Genomic DNA, 17,156 nt, shown 5'->3' with positions numbered 1-17,156 from the left:
TTCTGTGATCTGGGCCTGCCTTCCCTCAGCCCTGCTTCTGACAGCTTCCGACTCTCTGGCTGTCTGCTGCCCCCTTCACCCCTCAGCTACTCTAGGCCTGATGTGGTGTGGTCCTTGGGGCACGTCTGCTCCCTCCCCGTCGTGTGCAGTTCTTCCTTGTCTTTGGGCCTCAGCTTGAGTCCCGCTTCCTCAGTCCTTTAAAATTGTACGGCCCTCTCTGCTGTCTCCTGCTTAGAATACGGCACTCGCAGGAGCCAGTGCCACCAGATGATAACACTGGTGTCCCCATGGGGACCTTTGCAAGCGCAGGCTATGCCGTTTACTTGCTTCTACCCTGTGCTAACCGTATAAGGTAGACACAGTTGTCCGCATTTTATAGATAAGGAAATTGAGGCTCAGCGAGGATTCTACCTGAATAGCCTGTCTTCTTGACTAGTTTCCGGATTCTTCCCTGGGTGAATGTCTCATCTCTCCAACTTGACTGAGTTGCATCAGTGGGCAGAAACCACGTTTTTGGTTTCCACAGCACTCCCAGTGATGCGCCCTGTGCCCTGCGGTTCCAGTGGGTTGGATGTCAGCTGCGAAGAGGGCCCAGCTTGTTGGGTCTTGACACAGACTCAACTCACAGAAGCCCCCAGCCCCGCTGATGAGACGACTGGCTGATCCAGGCGGGGAGGGCACCTGGAGCAGGGCCCCTGGCCTGGGGGCTTACCCTGCTCACCCCACTGCTTCCTTCTCTCCTTCTTCCTCCAGGGAACTCAATGGCAACAACATCACTCGGATCCATAAGAATGACTTTGCGGGGCTCAAGCAGCTGCGGGTGCTGTGAGTATGGGGTGCTCCCTCCCACCCCACCCCTGGCAATGCCACGGCAGTCCTGGGCAGGGCCCTGGCTGTGGGTGGTAGGGTGGTGGGCTGTCTGGGCCCCTCTACCACGGAGTCAGTCTTGGCAAGACATCCTGAGGGGTGTCGGGTGGGGTGATGTTGAGTCTTGAGTCTTAACTCATCATAAGGTCCGTCGCCCTGTGCTCTCAGGGTAGTGCAGGGGTCTTAGGACCTCAGTTCTTTCAGAACTCCCACCTCTGCAGTTCTGAGGGTCTTTGGAGGAGCAGGGACCTCGTGACCAATCGTCTCTGAGGTCAGAGCTGACAAGCCGCTGGGCACGGATCTGCTCCAGAAACCCCCAACCTCTGCCGCTTCCCAGGCTCTGGGTGTGTCCCTTCTGAGTCTGGGGAGGCCCATGCTCTCTCCCAGGATTCCCCTCCCCTCTGCCCCCAGGCCTCCAGCGGGAGCCTCTCACACTTCAGGCTTTTGGAAACAAAGCAGAGAAAGAGAAATATCTGGTGGCGGTTCCCCCCCCTGCCCTGCCCCCAACGTCATCTGAGGCCCATGCAGGGGCACGAAAGCCACCTGCTTGCGGGTGGAGAGGGACAGATGCAGGGGGAAAAACACACTTGACTATCTCAAAAGTTATCACGCAACAGTCAATCTGTTGGTGAAAAATGCTGCCCCACCAGCCGGATGCTCTGGGTTTCAGGGCACGTTGGCGGTGAGGGGATGCAGAGTCCCACAGAGCCAGGTGGTTCAGTTGGCGTGGGCACCCCACTCTTTTCTTCAGCAGATGGGGCCAGGCAGGGTGGGGGTACAGGGAGACAGGGTGTTGTCTGCCAATTGTAGAGTGTGTTGCTGCCTGTGTGGGCTCTGCCCAGTTGGCACAGGCTCCCCTCCCCCTGATACTGGCCGGTCCCCCCGTTCTGTCCCTTGGACATGTGCCTTCAGGGCCCAAAGAGGCCAGGGCACGTGCGCCAGCAGCTCAAGCCAGCCTGTGCTGCCTGCTGCTGGGCCTGGCTCCCTGGAGCCTGATTGGAGCGGAGACATGGTGCTTGGGTGCCCTGTGGCCTTCTGCCCTGGCAGGCAGCTTCAGAGGGTCAGGGGGTTGCAAGTGCATTTTGTGGTGAGGTAAGATGCTGGGAGCCCTGAGGAGCCCATGGTGGGAAATTTGCAAAGGTGTAAGGAAATTGAGTCCGCTCAGGCCAGGCATAGGCCTGTGTGAGGCTTGGGCATGGCTCCTGTCTTACTCCCTTGCTAATGCTGCCCTGGCAGAGGTTGCCTCTGCCCCGCCGTTGTGCCAGCTGTTTCTAGCAGCCCTTGTCCCACACCCTGTAGCTGTCCTTGTCTCTTTGCTTCCCCAGGCAGCTGATGGAGAACCAGATTGGAGCAGTGGAACGTGGTGCTTTTGATGACATGAAGGAGCTGGAGCGGCTGTGAGTCCTGGCAGGGTGCAGGCCAGGAGGGCGGGGGGCTGGCACGAGAGGGAACTGGCAGGCCAAGCTGCTGCCAGGGATGAGGGGCACTCATGGGAGGGGACCCCATGCCCAGCCTGCCTCCACCAGCGGATGGAGCCAGGAGCAGCTGCAGCTGTGAAAGTGGTCACAAGGCATGGTCACAGAGAAACCTGGAGTGGGTCCCCAACCCACATTCTCCATGCAACTGTCCCTGTTGTTTTTCCCTGAAGATACGGGATGGCAAAAAATTTACATAATAATACAGAGGAAGTGACATTTCTTCCTGTCATCTCATCCTGACATAACCGCTGTCCATTGATTTGTGTGTCCTTAAAGGAAGCCGTGCCAACGGAACCTGTCAGGGAAGCCCCGGGGGATTGGTGTCTTAGGTGCACAGGGCCACAGTACAGAAATGGGAAGGTGGAGGCCTGTCCTGATTCACATGGTTTGTTGCTGAATAGGGCTTTTAAGTTTGAAAATGGGTCTTGATCAATTTTTACATTTCAGTTTGGCAACGATGAAAAAAAAAGAAACATAGTGGGGTGAGGTGGGGGATGGGCACTCATCATGTTCACGGTGGTCGCCGATCTCGTCCTTCTGAAAGTGGTTTGGCTGTAGGTGTTAGGAGTCCTAATGTTCATGCTCTTTGAACCAGAAAGTCCGTTTTATTTTAAGGAAATAATCAGAGACATGGCTAAAAATCATGTATCAGGATATTAATTGCACTTTATTATTTATTTATTTTTGAGACCAAGTCTTGCTGTGTCTACCAGGCTGGAGTGCAGTGGCGTGATCTCGGCTCACTGCAACCTCCACCTCCCGGGTTCAAGCGATTCCCCCGCCTCAGCCTCCCGAGTAGCTGGGATTGCAGGTGCATGCCACCACGCCTGGCTAATTGTTTTTGTATTTTTAATGGAGATGGGGTTTCACCATGTTGGCCAGGCTGATCTTGAACCCCTGACCTCAGGTGACACACCTGCCTCGGCCTCCTAAAGTGCTAGGATTACAGGCGTGAGCCACCGTGCCTGGCCATTGCACATTACTTAAATAGAAAAAAATTGGAAACCCATTCTAGTGGATACATAAGAAATAAAATCACATTTCTGAAGAACAGTGAAGAACACATGGGAATGTGCTCGCAATATAATGTTAAATGGAAAAGATAAAAAATGACAATAGTATTACTAAAACAATTTGCATGTGGATAGAATACAGGAGGAAGAAGACAACTGGAACCACTAACTCTCATTATAGTGAGTGGTGGATTATAGATAACTTTATTTTTATTCTTTGTGTTTTTCTCTTTTAATGGATTTTCTTATGACAAGTTTATTATTATGATTATAGCTACCACCACTCTATGCCAGGCACCTGGGGAAGCTCTTTGCCTTATATTATCTCATTTAATCCTTAAAACAACACTGCTCTAAGTAGTATTTCACAGATGAGAAAGAGAGGTACACAGAGATTAAGTCACTTGTCCCCAGTTGTACAGAAGAGGGGATTAGAACCCAGATCATTTTGCCTTCAAAGTCTGAGCTCTTAATGAAGATGACTTGATACCTCACCTTTCTTTTTTTGAGACGGAGTTTCACTCTTGTTGCCCAGGCTGGAGTGCAATGGCGCAATCTCGGCTCACTGCAATCTCCGCCTCTTGGGTTCAAGCGATTCTCCTACCTCAGCCTCCTGAGTAGCTGGGATTACAGGCGCCAGCCACCACGCCCAGCTAATTTTTTGTATTTTTAGTAGAGACTGGGTTTCACCATGTTGGGCAGGCTGGTCTTGAACTCCTGACCTCAGGTGATCCGCCCGCCTTGGCCTCCCAAAGTGCTGGGATTACAGGCCTGAGCCACCATGCCTGGCTCTTTCATTTTTATATTAAAGAAAATAGGATATTAAATAAAAGGAAAAGAATCCGATTGCCTCGTTGCCCTCCTACAGCCTGGAAGAAAGCAAGGCAATCTTTCTTTTGTGCTCCTCATCCAGGCCTAAAACGAAATGATAAGGAGCCCACAGCTAGACCAGATGTCGAATGCTGCATTTGTTTTCTTTAAAAGACTTAGAATAAAATACATGTTAATGACCTGGCTATGAGGGGCTGATTTGAACCTGACCCAACCTGGCTCCACCTCTTGTGCTGGGAAGGAGGGGAGGAGGGAAAGGGTCTGGGGGGTCGAGACATGACCCCACTGGGTGAGTGGCGACTTTAGGCCTGCAGGCACCTTCCTGAGTGGTCAGTTCAATGGTCGCCGCCTGAGTTGTTGGAGACCAGTGGCGCATCAGTTGATCGTAAAAGGTGATTAAAGTGCAGAGTCATTAAAAACCACACATACCAGCCAGGCACGGTGGCTCATGCCTGTAATCCCAGCACTTTGGGAGGCCAGGTGGTGGGGGTGGATCACTTGAGGTCAGGAGTTCGAGACCAGCCTGGCCAACATGGTGAAACCCTGCCTCTACTAAAAATATGAAAATTAGCCAGGCACAGTGGTACGTGCCTGTAATCCCAGCTACTCCAGAGGCTCAGGCAGGAGAATCACTTGAACCCGGGAGGCGGAGGTTGCGGTGAGCCGAGATCATGCCGCTGCAGTCCAGCCTGGGCGACAGAGCAAGTCTCTGTCTCAAAAACAGCAAAACAACAACAATAACAACAACAAAACCCCACACATACCTTAGACATTTCATTTTATGTTAAAACATATAAATGTGCATTTACTGACCCCTCCTCTTTTTTTTGGCCAAAGTCTTTCTCTTTGGTGTGAAACGCTGGTGTTCTTTCTGTGTTGTTTGCCTCGCCTAAACCACACACGTATACCTTGTTGATGATTTTTGGGTTTGGTTTCTGGAAGATGGAGTGAGATTTTCCAAAGGGCCTTGGGAGCAATCTGGGGGAGTATTCCTGATTTTTAAAATGACACCCACCCCTGTCTGCCACCGTCTTTTACTTAATTCAACAGCCCTTTAATTAGCAGCTTTCCTTTCATCGAATCTTTCTAAAGCATTCCACTTAGTTTTCATAGAGATGACTCTTTTTCCACTAGCATTTCATTCATTTATGTAATAGGTAATTAAATTATAGAGTTAGAATGGCAAGTGCCTCTGGCATAAACAGGTTTGGGAGTAGACATAACTGGTTCTTGTGAGCAGTTATAAACTCCAGAGTAGATGCAGCAGTGTGCAGTTGAGCTGGCCAAGAGGGATCAGGACATTGTGGCCTCAGCGGGTCTGCAGGTGGAGAGGAGTGGAGTGTGCCCAGTCACCCTGGGAGCTGGCCTGGCACTGTACCGTGGCCAGGATCATACCATGGGAGCAGCCAGGATGGGGAGTAGAGAAAGGCAAGCTTCAAGATCCCACATCTACCATTCAGTAATGGCTTGGGCGAGTCACTTACCTCTTGGTACCCCTATTCTCTCATCTTTCAAAGATGAGCAACTCAACAAAGTCAGCAAACCTATCTTGGGCACCTATGAAGAGCCAAGCCACGTGGTGCAGTGGTGGCAGGAAACCTCTGTGGGGGGTGTTTGTTGAGAGTCAGGAGGGTGAGGGCACGAATGCAAAGTGCTGTTGTCACTTTCAAGAGAAAGAGGCCCACCTTTACGCTCCGCTTTCCCGCCCGCGATGAGCTCATGCCCCTAATGCATTTGCCCCATGCCTGGCACATAGTAAGGGCTGATTATGATGGTGGCCATGACTACTGTTATCATTCTCAGTAAACTTCATGTCCCTCGCCATGTGGAGTCCCTTCTTTAGTGTCCTTTAATTTTCCATTTTAAACTAGGCATTGAATCCCTTTTTCCTCCTAAATAATTTTCAGAAGCAGAAGCCAGAAAAATGAGAAAGTCTTGGGGGAAAACAAAACAAAACCAGTGGTTACCAGGCAGTGTAAATACAGGATTAATTTACTGGACCAAGGATAAAGAATTTGGAGCTATCTGATGTCTACTCCTGTTGCTTTAAGGATTGTATTGATGATTTTATCCCCCCAAGGCAATGAAGTGTTTCCCTAGGAGCCTGCCCTTAAAAGTAAACTTCCAGTGGGTCTGCAAAAGTTGACTTAATTGTCTGTACCTTGGGGAACATGGCGGTGCCCAATGTGGTGGCAATGGCCTTTCTCACATATTAGATGAAGGATGACCTTCTAGGAGGTAACCACAGACCAATTACTGCTGGCTACATGGAATTAAGTTTTTCCCCTTCCCTCTGGAAGTAAGCTTTTGGCTGAGATGGTTTATCATACAGTTGTCCCTTGGTATCCATGGGGGATTTGTTCTAAGACCCCTCAGACACCCCTGGGGCTACAAGCCTGGACTACCATGCCCAGCTAATTTTTTTGTATTTTTTGTAGAGATGACGTTTCTCTTAGTTATTTCTCTTTGTTACCCAGGCAAATCTGAAGCCCCTGGCCTCAAGCAATCCTCTCATTCAGCCTCCCCAAGTGTTGGGATTACAGGCAGGAGCCATTTGACATGCTTTTTTTTTCTTCTCTGAGACAGAGTCTCACTCTGTTGCCCAGGCTGGAGTGCGGTGGCGTGATCTCAGCTTACTGCACCACCTCCCTGGTTCAAGTGATTCTCCCACCTCAGCCTCCCGAGTTGCTGGGATTACAGGTGCATGCCATCATGCCTGGCTGAGCATGCATTTTTATTAATGATAAAAATAATCAATAAAACTATTTTCTTTCTTTCTTTTTTTTTTTTTTTGAGACAGAGTTTCGCTCTGTCGCCCAGGCTGGAGTGCAGTGGTGCAATCTTGGCTCACTGCAACCTCCGTCTCCTGAGTTCAAGCGATTCTCCTGCCTCAGCCTCCCGAGTAGCTGGGATTACAGGCGCCTGCCACCATGCCTGGCTAATTTTTGTATTTTTAGTAGAGACGGGGTTTCACCATGTTGGCCAGGCTGGCCTCGAACTCCTGACCTCAGGTGATCCGCCCGCCTCGGCCTCCCAAAGTGCTGGGATTACAGTTGTGAGCCACTGCGCCCAGCTGCTATTTTCATTTTGAAAAAAGACCCAAAGCAAACAATAAAAAAAAAAGTGAAACCTCTGTTGAGCCAAATGTGGATGAAATCAGGGCTGTGTGGCCATTAGGGTATGTCTCCCATTTCAAGTGTAGTCAGGTTTCCAACTCACAAAGGGAAACAGCATTGGAATCAGTGCCTTAGAAACCACACAGGGCTTGCAAATGTGAAGTGATGATGATGATGGCTATGGGAAGAAGTAGTGGAAGGAGAGGTGCTGGTGAGGGGCTTCCGCAGACACTCTGTTCTTATCCTCCCCTCGTGCTGGGTGGTGGAATCTCCACTTTACAGATGAAGAACTGAGGCCCAGAGAAGGTAATTTCCCTGGGATGCCACATGGACCCTGTTAGGATTTGAATACTGGACCTTCTGCCTCTGAATCCATCTTGTGCTTTCTGAGAAGTCCTTTGGATTTCCTGGCTGTCTAGGTGATTTCCAATTCTTCTTCTCTTTTATAGGCGACTGAACCGAAACCAGCTGCACATGTTACCGGAACTGCTGTTCCAGAACAACCAGGCTTTGTCAAGACTGTGAGTGACGCTCTGTGGCCAGAGAGTTCTCCCTGTGGTTTTGTCTCTCACCCTGTGGGAGGCACAGTGTTTGGTCAGTGGGGCCTGGATATTCCCATGACCCTGACCCTGTGCTCCTCCCCTGGCAGGAATGGTCCAGGGCATCAAAGGCCAGGCCCTTTCTGTAGGAAGGTGCTGTGCAGGGTATTTCTCCATGGCAAGCACTTGGAAGAACCCGCAGTTCATCCAGATTTGTGAGCTGCCGCTGACAGTGTGGGTACAAGGGTGTTCTGCAGGCAGGCATGCTTGTGGACGGTGATGCCAGCCTTTACAGGGGCTCATTCTTACCCATCTCACTGCGCCTTTAGTAACCTGCCTGGAGCTGAATATTTACTCATTCAACTAAGCCCTTCTTGAACCTATTTCTATTTTCAGCTCTTTCTACCGTTTAGGGCCATGAGGTCTGTAAGGTTATTAACCATGGTATAAGATCATATTTTTATGTATTGTCAATGTACTTCTTTCAAGTTCGAAGGATAGTTGCTAATTCTGCTGCACCATGATTTGCCACATGTGTCTGTAATTTTTCTACCATATATTTCATTTTATGGGAATTGGGTTGGACAAGACCTTTGAGATTATCTAAGGAATCTCTTCTGCAGCTCCTTAGCATATGGTCCCACAGTCTTTGCTTGGCTACCTCTAGTGATGGGGAGCTCACCACCTCTGCAGACAATCAACTCTATCACTGGACAAATAAGTAAATTAGAAAATTTTTAACTTTGGGCCCTAAATCTGCTCTCCAGTAACTTACATATTTCTCAGTTTTGCTTTCTATAACTACCTAGTTTTTGAAGAGCTGTCAGGTTTTTGAATTTTGAGTTGGGATGTTTTTTAGTTCCCTTAATTGTTGTCATTAATAACCTTAAGAGCCACCGGCAGGGCCTTCTGCATGCCTGGCACAGCACTACTGGTTCGTCCCTGAAGGAGCTATGGGTCAGCACCTAGGTAGAGAAAGGGGTAATAAGCAATGTAGGTAAGACTGAGGGGTGTGGGTTGGGTGAGAGTGGCACCCTAAGGTTACCTGAGTGCTAAGGGGTCTGACCATGGGCTCCTAGAGTCTGGGGCTTGATTTTGTCTCCTCTGATTAAACACAGCTAGTTCTTTCTGCCTCTGCCATGATTTCTAGACCTCTCTGTAAGCCCAGTGATCTCCAGAATTTGTTGTTGATCTTACCTTCAAACTTTTATTTACTTATTTTTGAGACGAGATGTTGCTCTGTCACCCAGGCCGAATACAGTGGCACGATCTTGGCTCACTGCAGCCTCAATCTTCTGGGCTCAAGTGATCTTCCCACCTCAGCCTCCAGAGTAGCTGGGACTACAGGTATGCACTACCATGCCTGGCTAATTTTTTAATTTTTTGTAGAGACGGGGTTTTGCCATGTTGCCCAGGCTGGTTTCAAACTCCTAGGCTCAAGCGATCCACCAGCCTCAGCCTTCCAAAGTGCTGGGATTACAGGCGTGAACCACTGCACCTGGCCAAGCTTTTGTCTTTACAATGGAACTCTAATTTTCAGTCTGTTGGAATGGTCTTTCTGGTCACTTCCTGTTGCTTCCTCCTCCTGGCCTGGAGACCACTCCACAGTGACCTTTAGTGATGATCTCTTTTGCTGGTCTTTGCCACCACCCTTGGGCTTGAGTTGGGCCTTCTCCTCCAGTTTTCCTGTAACTGATAGGTTGGCCAATCCATTCTGTGCCAGGCATACACAGTGGGTGCTTAATTTTTCCCTACTTGATTGCGAAAGGCAGAAGATTCTTCCCAGCAGGTGCCTCCGTGGTAATGTCTGTTGAACCTGTGGGCCATGCACTGGTCTATGTGGTCCATGCTGTTGCTGGCCACATGCAAGCATCTGGCCTTGCCCTGCCTTGGCCCCAGCAACTCCTGTTTTCTCTCTGCTGTTCTTTCTCTGCTGACTTGCAAGTGTTATCACAGCTCTGCCTTTCTGCAAAAATTCTTCTTGAATGTCTTTTCTCTTGGTCTCAATTGTGCAATTCTTTCCCCCTCCTATGTCCTCTTAACCTTTCAAGCTTTTGCCCTTGCTCTCCTGGCATGATTTGCCTACTTGGGTCCCTTCTCCTTCCCATAGTGATCCGTTGCCCTCTACCTTGCTGGGATCAAGGCATATGTATACTGTACAGTTGCCGTCAAGCTCTGGGTGCCCACTTTCACTCTCCCTCATTGATTTTAAAATCTCCAAGACCCATCATGTAAATCTGAATCCACCAACTTCCAGCCCTTTACTTGAGATCATCTCCAGCCATATTCATTTTTAGCGGGGAGCTGACTTCTTTTGTCATAACCTTCCACCAGCCCTTGGGGGTAAAGGGTAGCTCTGCAGGGGACTCCCTCCCTCCTTTACTCGAGTCCACCCTTCTCTTTGGACATTGGTGCCTTGCACACACCTGTGTTCCTTCCTGAGGAAAATGACAACTTGGCTGCCTCCTTGGCCTGTGTCTGGGAAACCTGGATCCCCCCTGGAATGGAAGGTGGCCTGGGAAGCAGAAAGTCAAGGGTCAGGTGGTCCTGGGCTTTTCAAGGCATAACTTTGGGTGGTTTAATTGTTCAGAGCCCATTTCTCTTACCCATACATGGTAGGGCTAGTAGGAGTCTGAACTGGGACTGTGCATGTAACATAACCAAGCCTGCAGCTGGCCCTCAGTGGATGTTCATCCATCATGCCCCTGATAACTCAGGGTGAGCAAATAGCCCCTCGGTGAAGCAGGTGCTCCTGTGCTTGATATCTTGTCTGACACATGTGGCCATGAGGCAAGCAATGTCTCCCACTGTTACTGCCAGCGAGACAGGTTGGAAAGAGGAAGTGACTTCCCGAGAGTCAGGATGAAGCCCTCTGACTCCTAGGCCCGCCCTCTTCATGGTTTCATATTTTACAGGAGTCCTAGAGGAAAGGACATCTATATTTTAATGAGTATTAAATAGCCAGATTCTATAACCAAAGGCTGGCACAAGAAGATTAAATCAAGGAGCAAAAAGCCATTGCAGAGGACAGCACTCTGTATGATACCTGCTCTTGGCACCCTATGGGGCTGGGAGGCAGAAGCCTCTAGACACATTGGGTGTCCTCATTGCAGTGGTCCCAGGCCAGCTGCTTTCGGGAGGGGGCTGGTTGGCAGCCAACAGAGGGACTTCCAGGAGGGCAGTGGAAGTCTTGGTAGCCCTTTGGGGGGGTGTTTCTAGGCTCTAGAGCCAGAACTTCTCCCTAACACTTACTGTCTTTTCTTTCCAGGCATCAGGTCCTTTACTCTCAGCAGGAAACATTTCTCATCCAGGAGCATAGCAGGATTTGGGTGAAGGCAGACTTTTCTTTAGCTTTCCCCTTGACATTTCTTAACCTCATCTGTAAGCAAGGCATGCAAACCGAGAGGACTCCTGCAGGGCTCTTGGAGGACTCCCAGGCAGTGTGCCCTGCTTAGTTTGCACTGAGGCCAAGGCATTTGGTGGCCACCAGGTCACATCTCAAAACGGGCACTGTCTGGGGGAAATGATTCAACAAACCTTATTTATCTGGTTGTTCGTCCCTGGTGTCTGGGCTTACCGGGTTCTTCACCTTGGAGATGGTTATAGGGAAGGATAGAGGAGCAAGTGTTTAAAGATCTACTTGTTAATATTCTTCTAATATTACTGTGTACGCATCCGCCCTGCCCCATTCTATTGACCTGAGCACCTGGCATTCTAAAGTATCTCTGTTAACTCCCCCAGTTGGTCTGGCCAAGGAGTACTCGGCACGCTTGGTTCCAGAAACAGAATACCCTGCCGGCTGGTGATGGTAAAGGTAGAGGCGGGGTTTTGTAGGGGCACAGCTGGCAGGCTCCCAGGCTCCCAGAGCAGGAGGTGAGATCCAGCTGGCCCTCCCAGGGACCTGCACTGAGATGTGAGGGCCATTTCTCGTTATTTCTGAATATCTGCCTTATTGTCCTGCTCTTCCCTGCAAACCAGTGTTCTAGGATCATCAGCAGCATCTCGATTCCATCATGACTCAGGTCAGCCATGGTGCCAATTTGCCTCCTACTTCCTGTGACCTCGGAGCTCAGATCCACACAGCGTCTCAGGCCCCAACTCCGGGTTTCTGGGAGAGTGAATCTGATTGGCCCATCTTAGGTCAAGAGGTCACACCAGGCCAGTGAGCTGTTGGCAGGGATTGTGGGATCCGCTGGTGCAGCAACACTATGGTGCCCACACTATCTCAGGAGCTGGAGTGGGACCTATTCCCTTAGAAGGCAGTGCCTGGCATTCCTGTTCTCTCACTTGTTGACCTCCCCTTTGCTTTGTAGGGATCTGTTACTAATTCTTCCCATCTGGAGCAAATTATGGACTTTCATGCACAGGCTGTTATGCTAAATCAGCATGAAAATGGGTTTGAGAGAGACCAAATGTGCTGGGTAAGGCATGGTCACCAAGTCTGTAGGTGGTGGCGCAGCCCACATTTCAGTTGATTTTGTCTGTGTGGCCTCCAGAAGTTAAAATCCTGTTAGGGGTTATTCTGCACGAATGTTTCCCCTGCTGTGAGGTTAGTCTGTCTATTTCTTTCCTATGCAGGATCTATGGCTCAGAGAGGTGATTTGCCTTGGACCACAGAGCAGCTTGACAATAGGGTTGGAATTAGACACCAGGCCTTCTAGGGGCCCTGAAGAGCCTGAAAATGGTCTTAAACCTTGACCTAGGAATCTCATATTTGGGCATCTGCCCTAAAGAAATAATAAAGCATGAGCACAGACATGTTCGTTGCTGTATTATTTAGAATATTGAAATATAGAATAATGAAAAGAATATGGAAATAACATATATGTCCAACATTGGGGGCATGATGAAGTAAATGATGATGTATCTACTTGATGGAATATTTATACCATCATCAAAAATGGCCTTTATGAAAGATGTCAAGTAATGCAGATACATGTGTTTGATATCAAAAGCCAGGATTCCAAACTGCATTGACAATATGACCACTTGATAAATCACTCTAAATAATGCATGAAAACATACCTGGAAAATGCCAACAGGGATTGTCTGTGGGTGGCTTTTTTCTCTTCTGTGTCTCAGATGTTCTTTAAGAAGCATGTGTTACGTTTACGGTAGGAAACCTCCCAGTTTTTAAATAAGAAGTGAAAAGCCTCTGTAGTCTGAGGTGAAGCAAATGCCTGTGATACGATGTTGCAGCGTTTCCTTTAACCGAGCCTGTTTGCTCTTCTGTGAGATACAGATAGTAAGGGCTGGCTGCCTCATGGGGCTGATGTGACGATTAAAGAGAGCTGTGACACTCTCTTGTGTCAGACATGAACACTGTGGCACACGGGAGGTGCCCAGGAAATGTCAGATGAGTCCACATCAGGGCTACTTCGGAGGGTGGTGCAGCCCCAGCGTGACCTGCACCTGGACCTGCGTCCCATATTGATGTTGGCTTCCCCTGTCCCTTGTGCCAACTCAACCTCACCACTCTTAACTCACAACCATCCCCTCAATTTGCAGGGACCTTCCCCCAACAGGGTTTTGTTTTTTTTTCTCGAGGGGCTTAGGTGACCCTGCAGAGACACCCTGAGGAGGCTGTGGAGGGAGGCTGGCATGTGGTGGGCAGGAGGGCCGTGACCTTGGCACAGTCAGTGCCCGGGCTGAGGATGTGGGAGATATGCTTTCTGTCCTCTTGGGCACTTTCCTGAGCAGGCCAGGGAGAGCAAACATGGAGCAAGTAGGTGATGCTGCCCTGGAGGCATTTATTGGTGCCCTGAAATTACATATGTATTCTGTACTTCCCCAGGGATGCCCCCATTGAGGGTGGGCTGGAGCAGCACTCACACCTCTTCAGAAGAGAGCACACCCCCTTCCCCAACCCCACTGCAGAAGTGAACCTGCCCCATGACCTCCTTCACTGCCTCACTCTCCCAGGGCCTCATGAAAGGTCTCAGGGACTGCAATCATCATAGTAACGGTTAGAAAGAATGGAAGGTTGTTGTGTGCCAGGCTCATGCTGAGCAACTTACAGATATACCTGATTTCATCATCAGAACACTCTACGAGGTCAGCACTTTCCGAATTTTACAGATAAAGAAATGCAAGCTCAGCGGGTATGTGACACATCCAAGGGGCTAAGCCAAATGTGAACCCCAGTCTGTCTGACAATAAAGCTCATCCTTACATACCACCCCTAGCCTGCCTCACCCATCCACCCCCTCCACCCATCCACCCATCTGTCCATCCACCTAGTTATCAACCACTGCCCTTCACCTCCCATCTACCTTCCCACCATCTACCAACCCATCAGTCAACCCACCCATCTCTCTCCCTACTCCTGACCCATCCCTCCATCCCCCATCTCCTCCCATCCATTCTCCCATCCAGCACTCCCCACCCACTCACCACCTGCCTATCCATCCACTCTCCCACCCCCACCCATCAACCCTCCCCCTCCCACGTACGCATCTACCAACCTACCTATAAACCCAGATACCCTTCTATCTCCCAACTCCTCCCCACCTTCCTCCACCCCTGTATTCGCTCCTGCTCACCTTCCATCTTCTACTCACCCACCCACTGATCCAATAGTTCCTGAGGGCCTCCTGTGGGCCAGGCTCTGTGTTAGGTACTGTGAACCCTTGGAGTGATGTCTAGGTAAGATGGATGAGTGTGGCCCTGCCTCTTAGGAGGTGACAGGTCTGTCATCAGTGCTCTTTGAGAGCAGCCTGCCACCCTCTGACCTATCAGCAGATTGGAGTGGGTGGGGGCAGGTGCTGCACTGGCTGGACCTATATCTCCTTCCGGCGGGGGGGCAGGTATACCCTGGTGGGGGGTTACCTAGGTTTGGAGGTCAGCTCCGTCACCTGACAGTGAACCCTCAGAGGATGTGGAGATGTTGTTTCCATGGACATACACAGGTGTTAAGTTGAAGGTTAGAGGGATATGCTGGAAACCTGATTGCTTCTTACAGCAGCAAAACTCAGTCTTCACCAGGTTCAGGTGGGGAGCAGGGTGTCCGCCCACCACGCATGCCGCCTCCTTGGCCTCCAATCTGGGGAGGATCTCTGCTGCCGTGCAGCTCTGCTCTTGCTGATCCCCTCGTCATCCAGAAGCTGCTTCTGGAAACCCAGTTCCTCTGGGCTTCCTTTTAGCCTTGAAACCAATATGTGTCCCAACAAGATTGACCTTTTGTGTCTCTGCTGGGCCTGGAAGGGGTGGGGGTGGGTGATTAAGGGCAGCCCAGGGCATTTATTTCCCCTTATTTATATCCCTGCTGTAAGGACCACCATAACTCATTAACAGGGCCCTGGTGGTTGGAGAGGCGTGGATATGAGATTCACAGGAGCCCTGCTGAAGAATGCCTGACCCTATCGACCCTGTCTCAAGCTGGGTTTAATTAAACTGTCAGCACTGGTCAGAAGAACAAAGCTTCCCTTCCCGTCTTGGTCCCCAGCCCCCATCAGAGGCAGGAGGGCATTCTCTGCTGAAATGAAGAGCTGTTAAAAATGGATCTGTTTTGCCTCTGAGGGAAATTACCCAAGGCAAGAAGGTGACCTCGCTATTGTGACGCATCCATGCCAGGCAGCAGAACTGCAGAACTGAGCCAGCCATGCCCCGAGACACCAGCACACGAGAACGGGGCTCCCAGCCGCCCCTCCCCAGCCAGAGCCTCCTTCCTGCCAGAGTCCTCTGGGGACTCCTTGAGATGGCGGTCCATCACTCCTTAGACTTCCCTTTCCCAGAAAGGAATTTCACTAGCTTTGTCCTTCAAGATATTGAGATGTTCCTGGCATTAATGGTAAAAAGGAGCTTCCTTGGTTAAACAATTTGGGGAAGAGCTGGGCCAAGCAGAGTCCTTCGTCAAGGACTATTCAGCCCATTTAACACGCTAATGTGCGCCATACAGCTCCCAGGGCAGATGTGGAATGTTGCGTCTCCCAAACATATCTGACTGTGAACCTCAAAAAATTTATTTTTTCGGGGAATACCTTTTAACATCAGCCTAGTATTAAGTAACTTGCGGAAGTCTCAGACAGTAAGAATCAGAGCTGAGATTCGAACCCAGGCCCACCTGACCCCAAACCCACATACTTACCTTCAAACTGCCAGTCCTTGAACTAGAGTATGATTAAGAGTTGTCTCAGTGGGGAGTTTATTAAAATTCAGATTCCCAGGGTCACACTCAGAGATTCTGAGTCAGTCAGTGTGGAAGGGCCCAAGAATCTGCATCATCAAACCTCTCTTTATCTGGCTCGTGCTTGAGAAGCCTTGCTCCCCGTCAGGCATGGTGAGTCTTAGGAGGGGCTTCCTGTTGGGTAGAGCTCCTCTTTGCTTCTGCCCCGCCCGGTTCAATGTGAGAGCCATGCTAAGTAAGGGAAGGCCCCAAGCGCAGACGCTTCACCTCCTGCAGCTACACAGAGAACAATTTGGGGATTATGAGTTGGCAATTATGGAGCACTCTGGATTCTCGAAGTGCTTTCCAATCATTAAATCTGCGCCTGCTGTCAAGGCTCAAGTGAAAGAGGCGAGCGTCCCACTGGGCCGGCACGGGAGTCTCCGGGAAGAGGGCGGCCGGCCTCAGATTGACATCTGCTCGCCAGAGCGGGCTGATGCGCCCAGCATGGATGAATGTCCTAGACACAGCCCTGGTGCCTGGCTGTGGGCTTTGAATCCAGCTCTGCCCCTGCTGGCTAAGAACCACACAGGGTTTTACAAATTTGGACAGCCAAGGGAGCCCGGGGCCTGAAGGAGGGCCACGGGGGGGTGGCGAGCGGTCAGTGGGTCATCCCGAGAGAATGCCTGGCAAACGCGGTGTGCCCTGCACTTACAGGGGCTCAAAGGCATGAAAAGCCACTGGTCCTCTCCTACAGCATTACAAAAATTGGTGTGAGACAAACGGAATTCGTAACCATTGGGAAGATTCTGAATAGAGAGGCGTGCGTGCAGGAACGGGCTCTTGTGAATAACTTTTAGGGAGGTGAGGATTTTAGAAAAATCATTTCAAAAGTTACACAAATATTATTTGTCAATTAAAACATATTAAAAATAAAATTTCTTTGAAAGCATACGATTTTAAAATAAAAATTATGAAAATAATTTTGCTAGAAAGTGAACATTTGAAAAATAGCGAAAAGCAAAGAATGATAGGAGATAAGGGATTTAGTTTTCTAGTTAAGGCATTTAAAGGTGATTGAGCTAACATGCAAAATTTTAAAAAAATAAAGTTTTAGGCCAGGCATGGTGGCTCACGCTTATAATCCCAACACTTTGGGAGGCTGAGATGGGAGAATTGCTTGTGGCCAGGAGTTCGAGGCCAGCCTG

General features: G+C 49.9%; 1 protein-coding gene and 1 long non-coding RNA gene across 2 annotated transcripts in view, besides 5 other annotated features; both read left to right on the top strand.

Moving 5' to 3' along the window:
* ARHGAP19-SLIT1 (ARHGAP19-SLIT1 readthrough (NMD candidate)) overlaps positions 1–12,602 on the top strand; it is a 139,632-nt gene extending 127,030 nt beyond the window's left edge. The window contains exons 12-15 of the long non-coding RNA NR_037909.1: positions 754–825; positions 2,193–2,264; positions 7,755–7,826; positions 12,423–12,602. This is a non-coding gene — a long non-coding RNA (ARHGAP19-SLIT1 readthrough (NMD candidate)). The remainder of the gene's footprint in view (positions 1–753; positions 826–2,192; positions 2,265–7,754; positions 7,827–12,422) is intronic.
* The window catches only part of SLIT1 (slit guidance ligand 1), a 187,922-nt gene that overhangs the window by 20,316 nt on the left and 150,450 nt on the right, over positions 1–17,156 (top strand). Inside the window, exons 2-4 of the mRNA NM_003061.3 lie at positions 754–825; positions 2,193–2,264; positions 7,755–7,826. Of these exons, the coding sequence (NP_003052.2) occupies positions 754–825; positions 2,193–2,264; positions 7,755–7,826 (216 nt within the window). The remainder of the gene's footprint in view (positions 1–753; positions 826–2,192; positions 2,265–7,754; positions 7,827–17,156) is intronic.
* Positions 1,023–1,556: an enhancer, noted in NCBI's record as "H3K4me1 hESC enhancer chr10:98923845-98924378 (GRCh37/hg19 assembly coordinates)". NCBI's record gives its function as "activates a minimal SCP1, AML or CMV promoter by ChIP-STARR-seq in naive H9 embryonic stem cells {active_cell/tissue: H9 hESC(naive)}" and the evidence as "EXISTENCE:reporter gene assay evidence [ECO:0000049][PMID:30033119]".
* Positions 1,557–2,090: an enhancer, noted in NCBI's record as "H3K27ac-H3K4me1 hESC enhancer chr10:98923311-98923844 (GRCh37/hg19 assembly coordinates)". NCBI's record gives its function as "activates a minimal SCP1, AML or CMV promoter by ChIP-STARR-seq in naive and primed H9 embryonic stem cells {active_cell/tissue: H9 hESC(naive and primed)}" and the evidence as "EXISTENCE:reporter gene assay evidence [ECO:0000049][PMID:30033119]".
* Positions 2,091–2,625: an enhancer, noted in NCBI's record as "H3K27ac-H3K4me1 hESC enhancer chr10:98922776-98923310 (GRCh37/hg19 assembly coordinates)". NCBI's record gives its function as "activates a minimal SCP1, AML or CMV promoter by ChIP-STARR-seq in naive H9 embryonic stem cells {active_cell/tissue: H9 hESC(naive)}" and the evidence as "EXISTENCE:reporter gene assay evidence [ECO:0000049][PMID:30033119]".
* Positions 7,152–7,231: an enhancer, noted in NCBI's record as "active region_3845". NCBI's record gives its function as "activates an Ori minimal core promoter by ATAC-STARR-seq in GM12878 lymphoblastoid cells {active_cell/tissue: GM12878}" and the evidence as "EXISTENCE:reporter gene assay evidence [ECO:0000049][PMID:35858748]".
* Positions 7,851–8,000: an enhancer, noted in NCBI's record as "active region_3844". NCBI's record gives its function as "activates an Ori minimal core promoter by ATAC-STARR-seq in GM12878 lymphoblastoid cells {active_cell/tissue: GM12878}" and the evidence as "EXISTENCE:reporter gene assay evidence [ECO:0000049][PMID:35858748]".

The sequence above is a fragment of the Homo sapiens genome, chromosome 10 (genome assembly GCF_000001405.40).
Source record: "Homo sapiens chromosome 10, GRCh38.p14 Primary Assembly".
Lineage (NCBI taxonomy): Eukaryota > Metazoa > Chordata > Mammalia > Primates > Hominidae > Homo > Homo sapiens.
The sequence above is the reverse complement of the archived record's forward strand: the minus strand, read 5'-3'. Positions and strand labels throughout refer to the sequence as shown.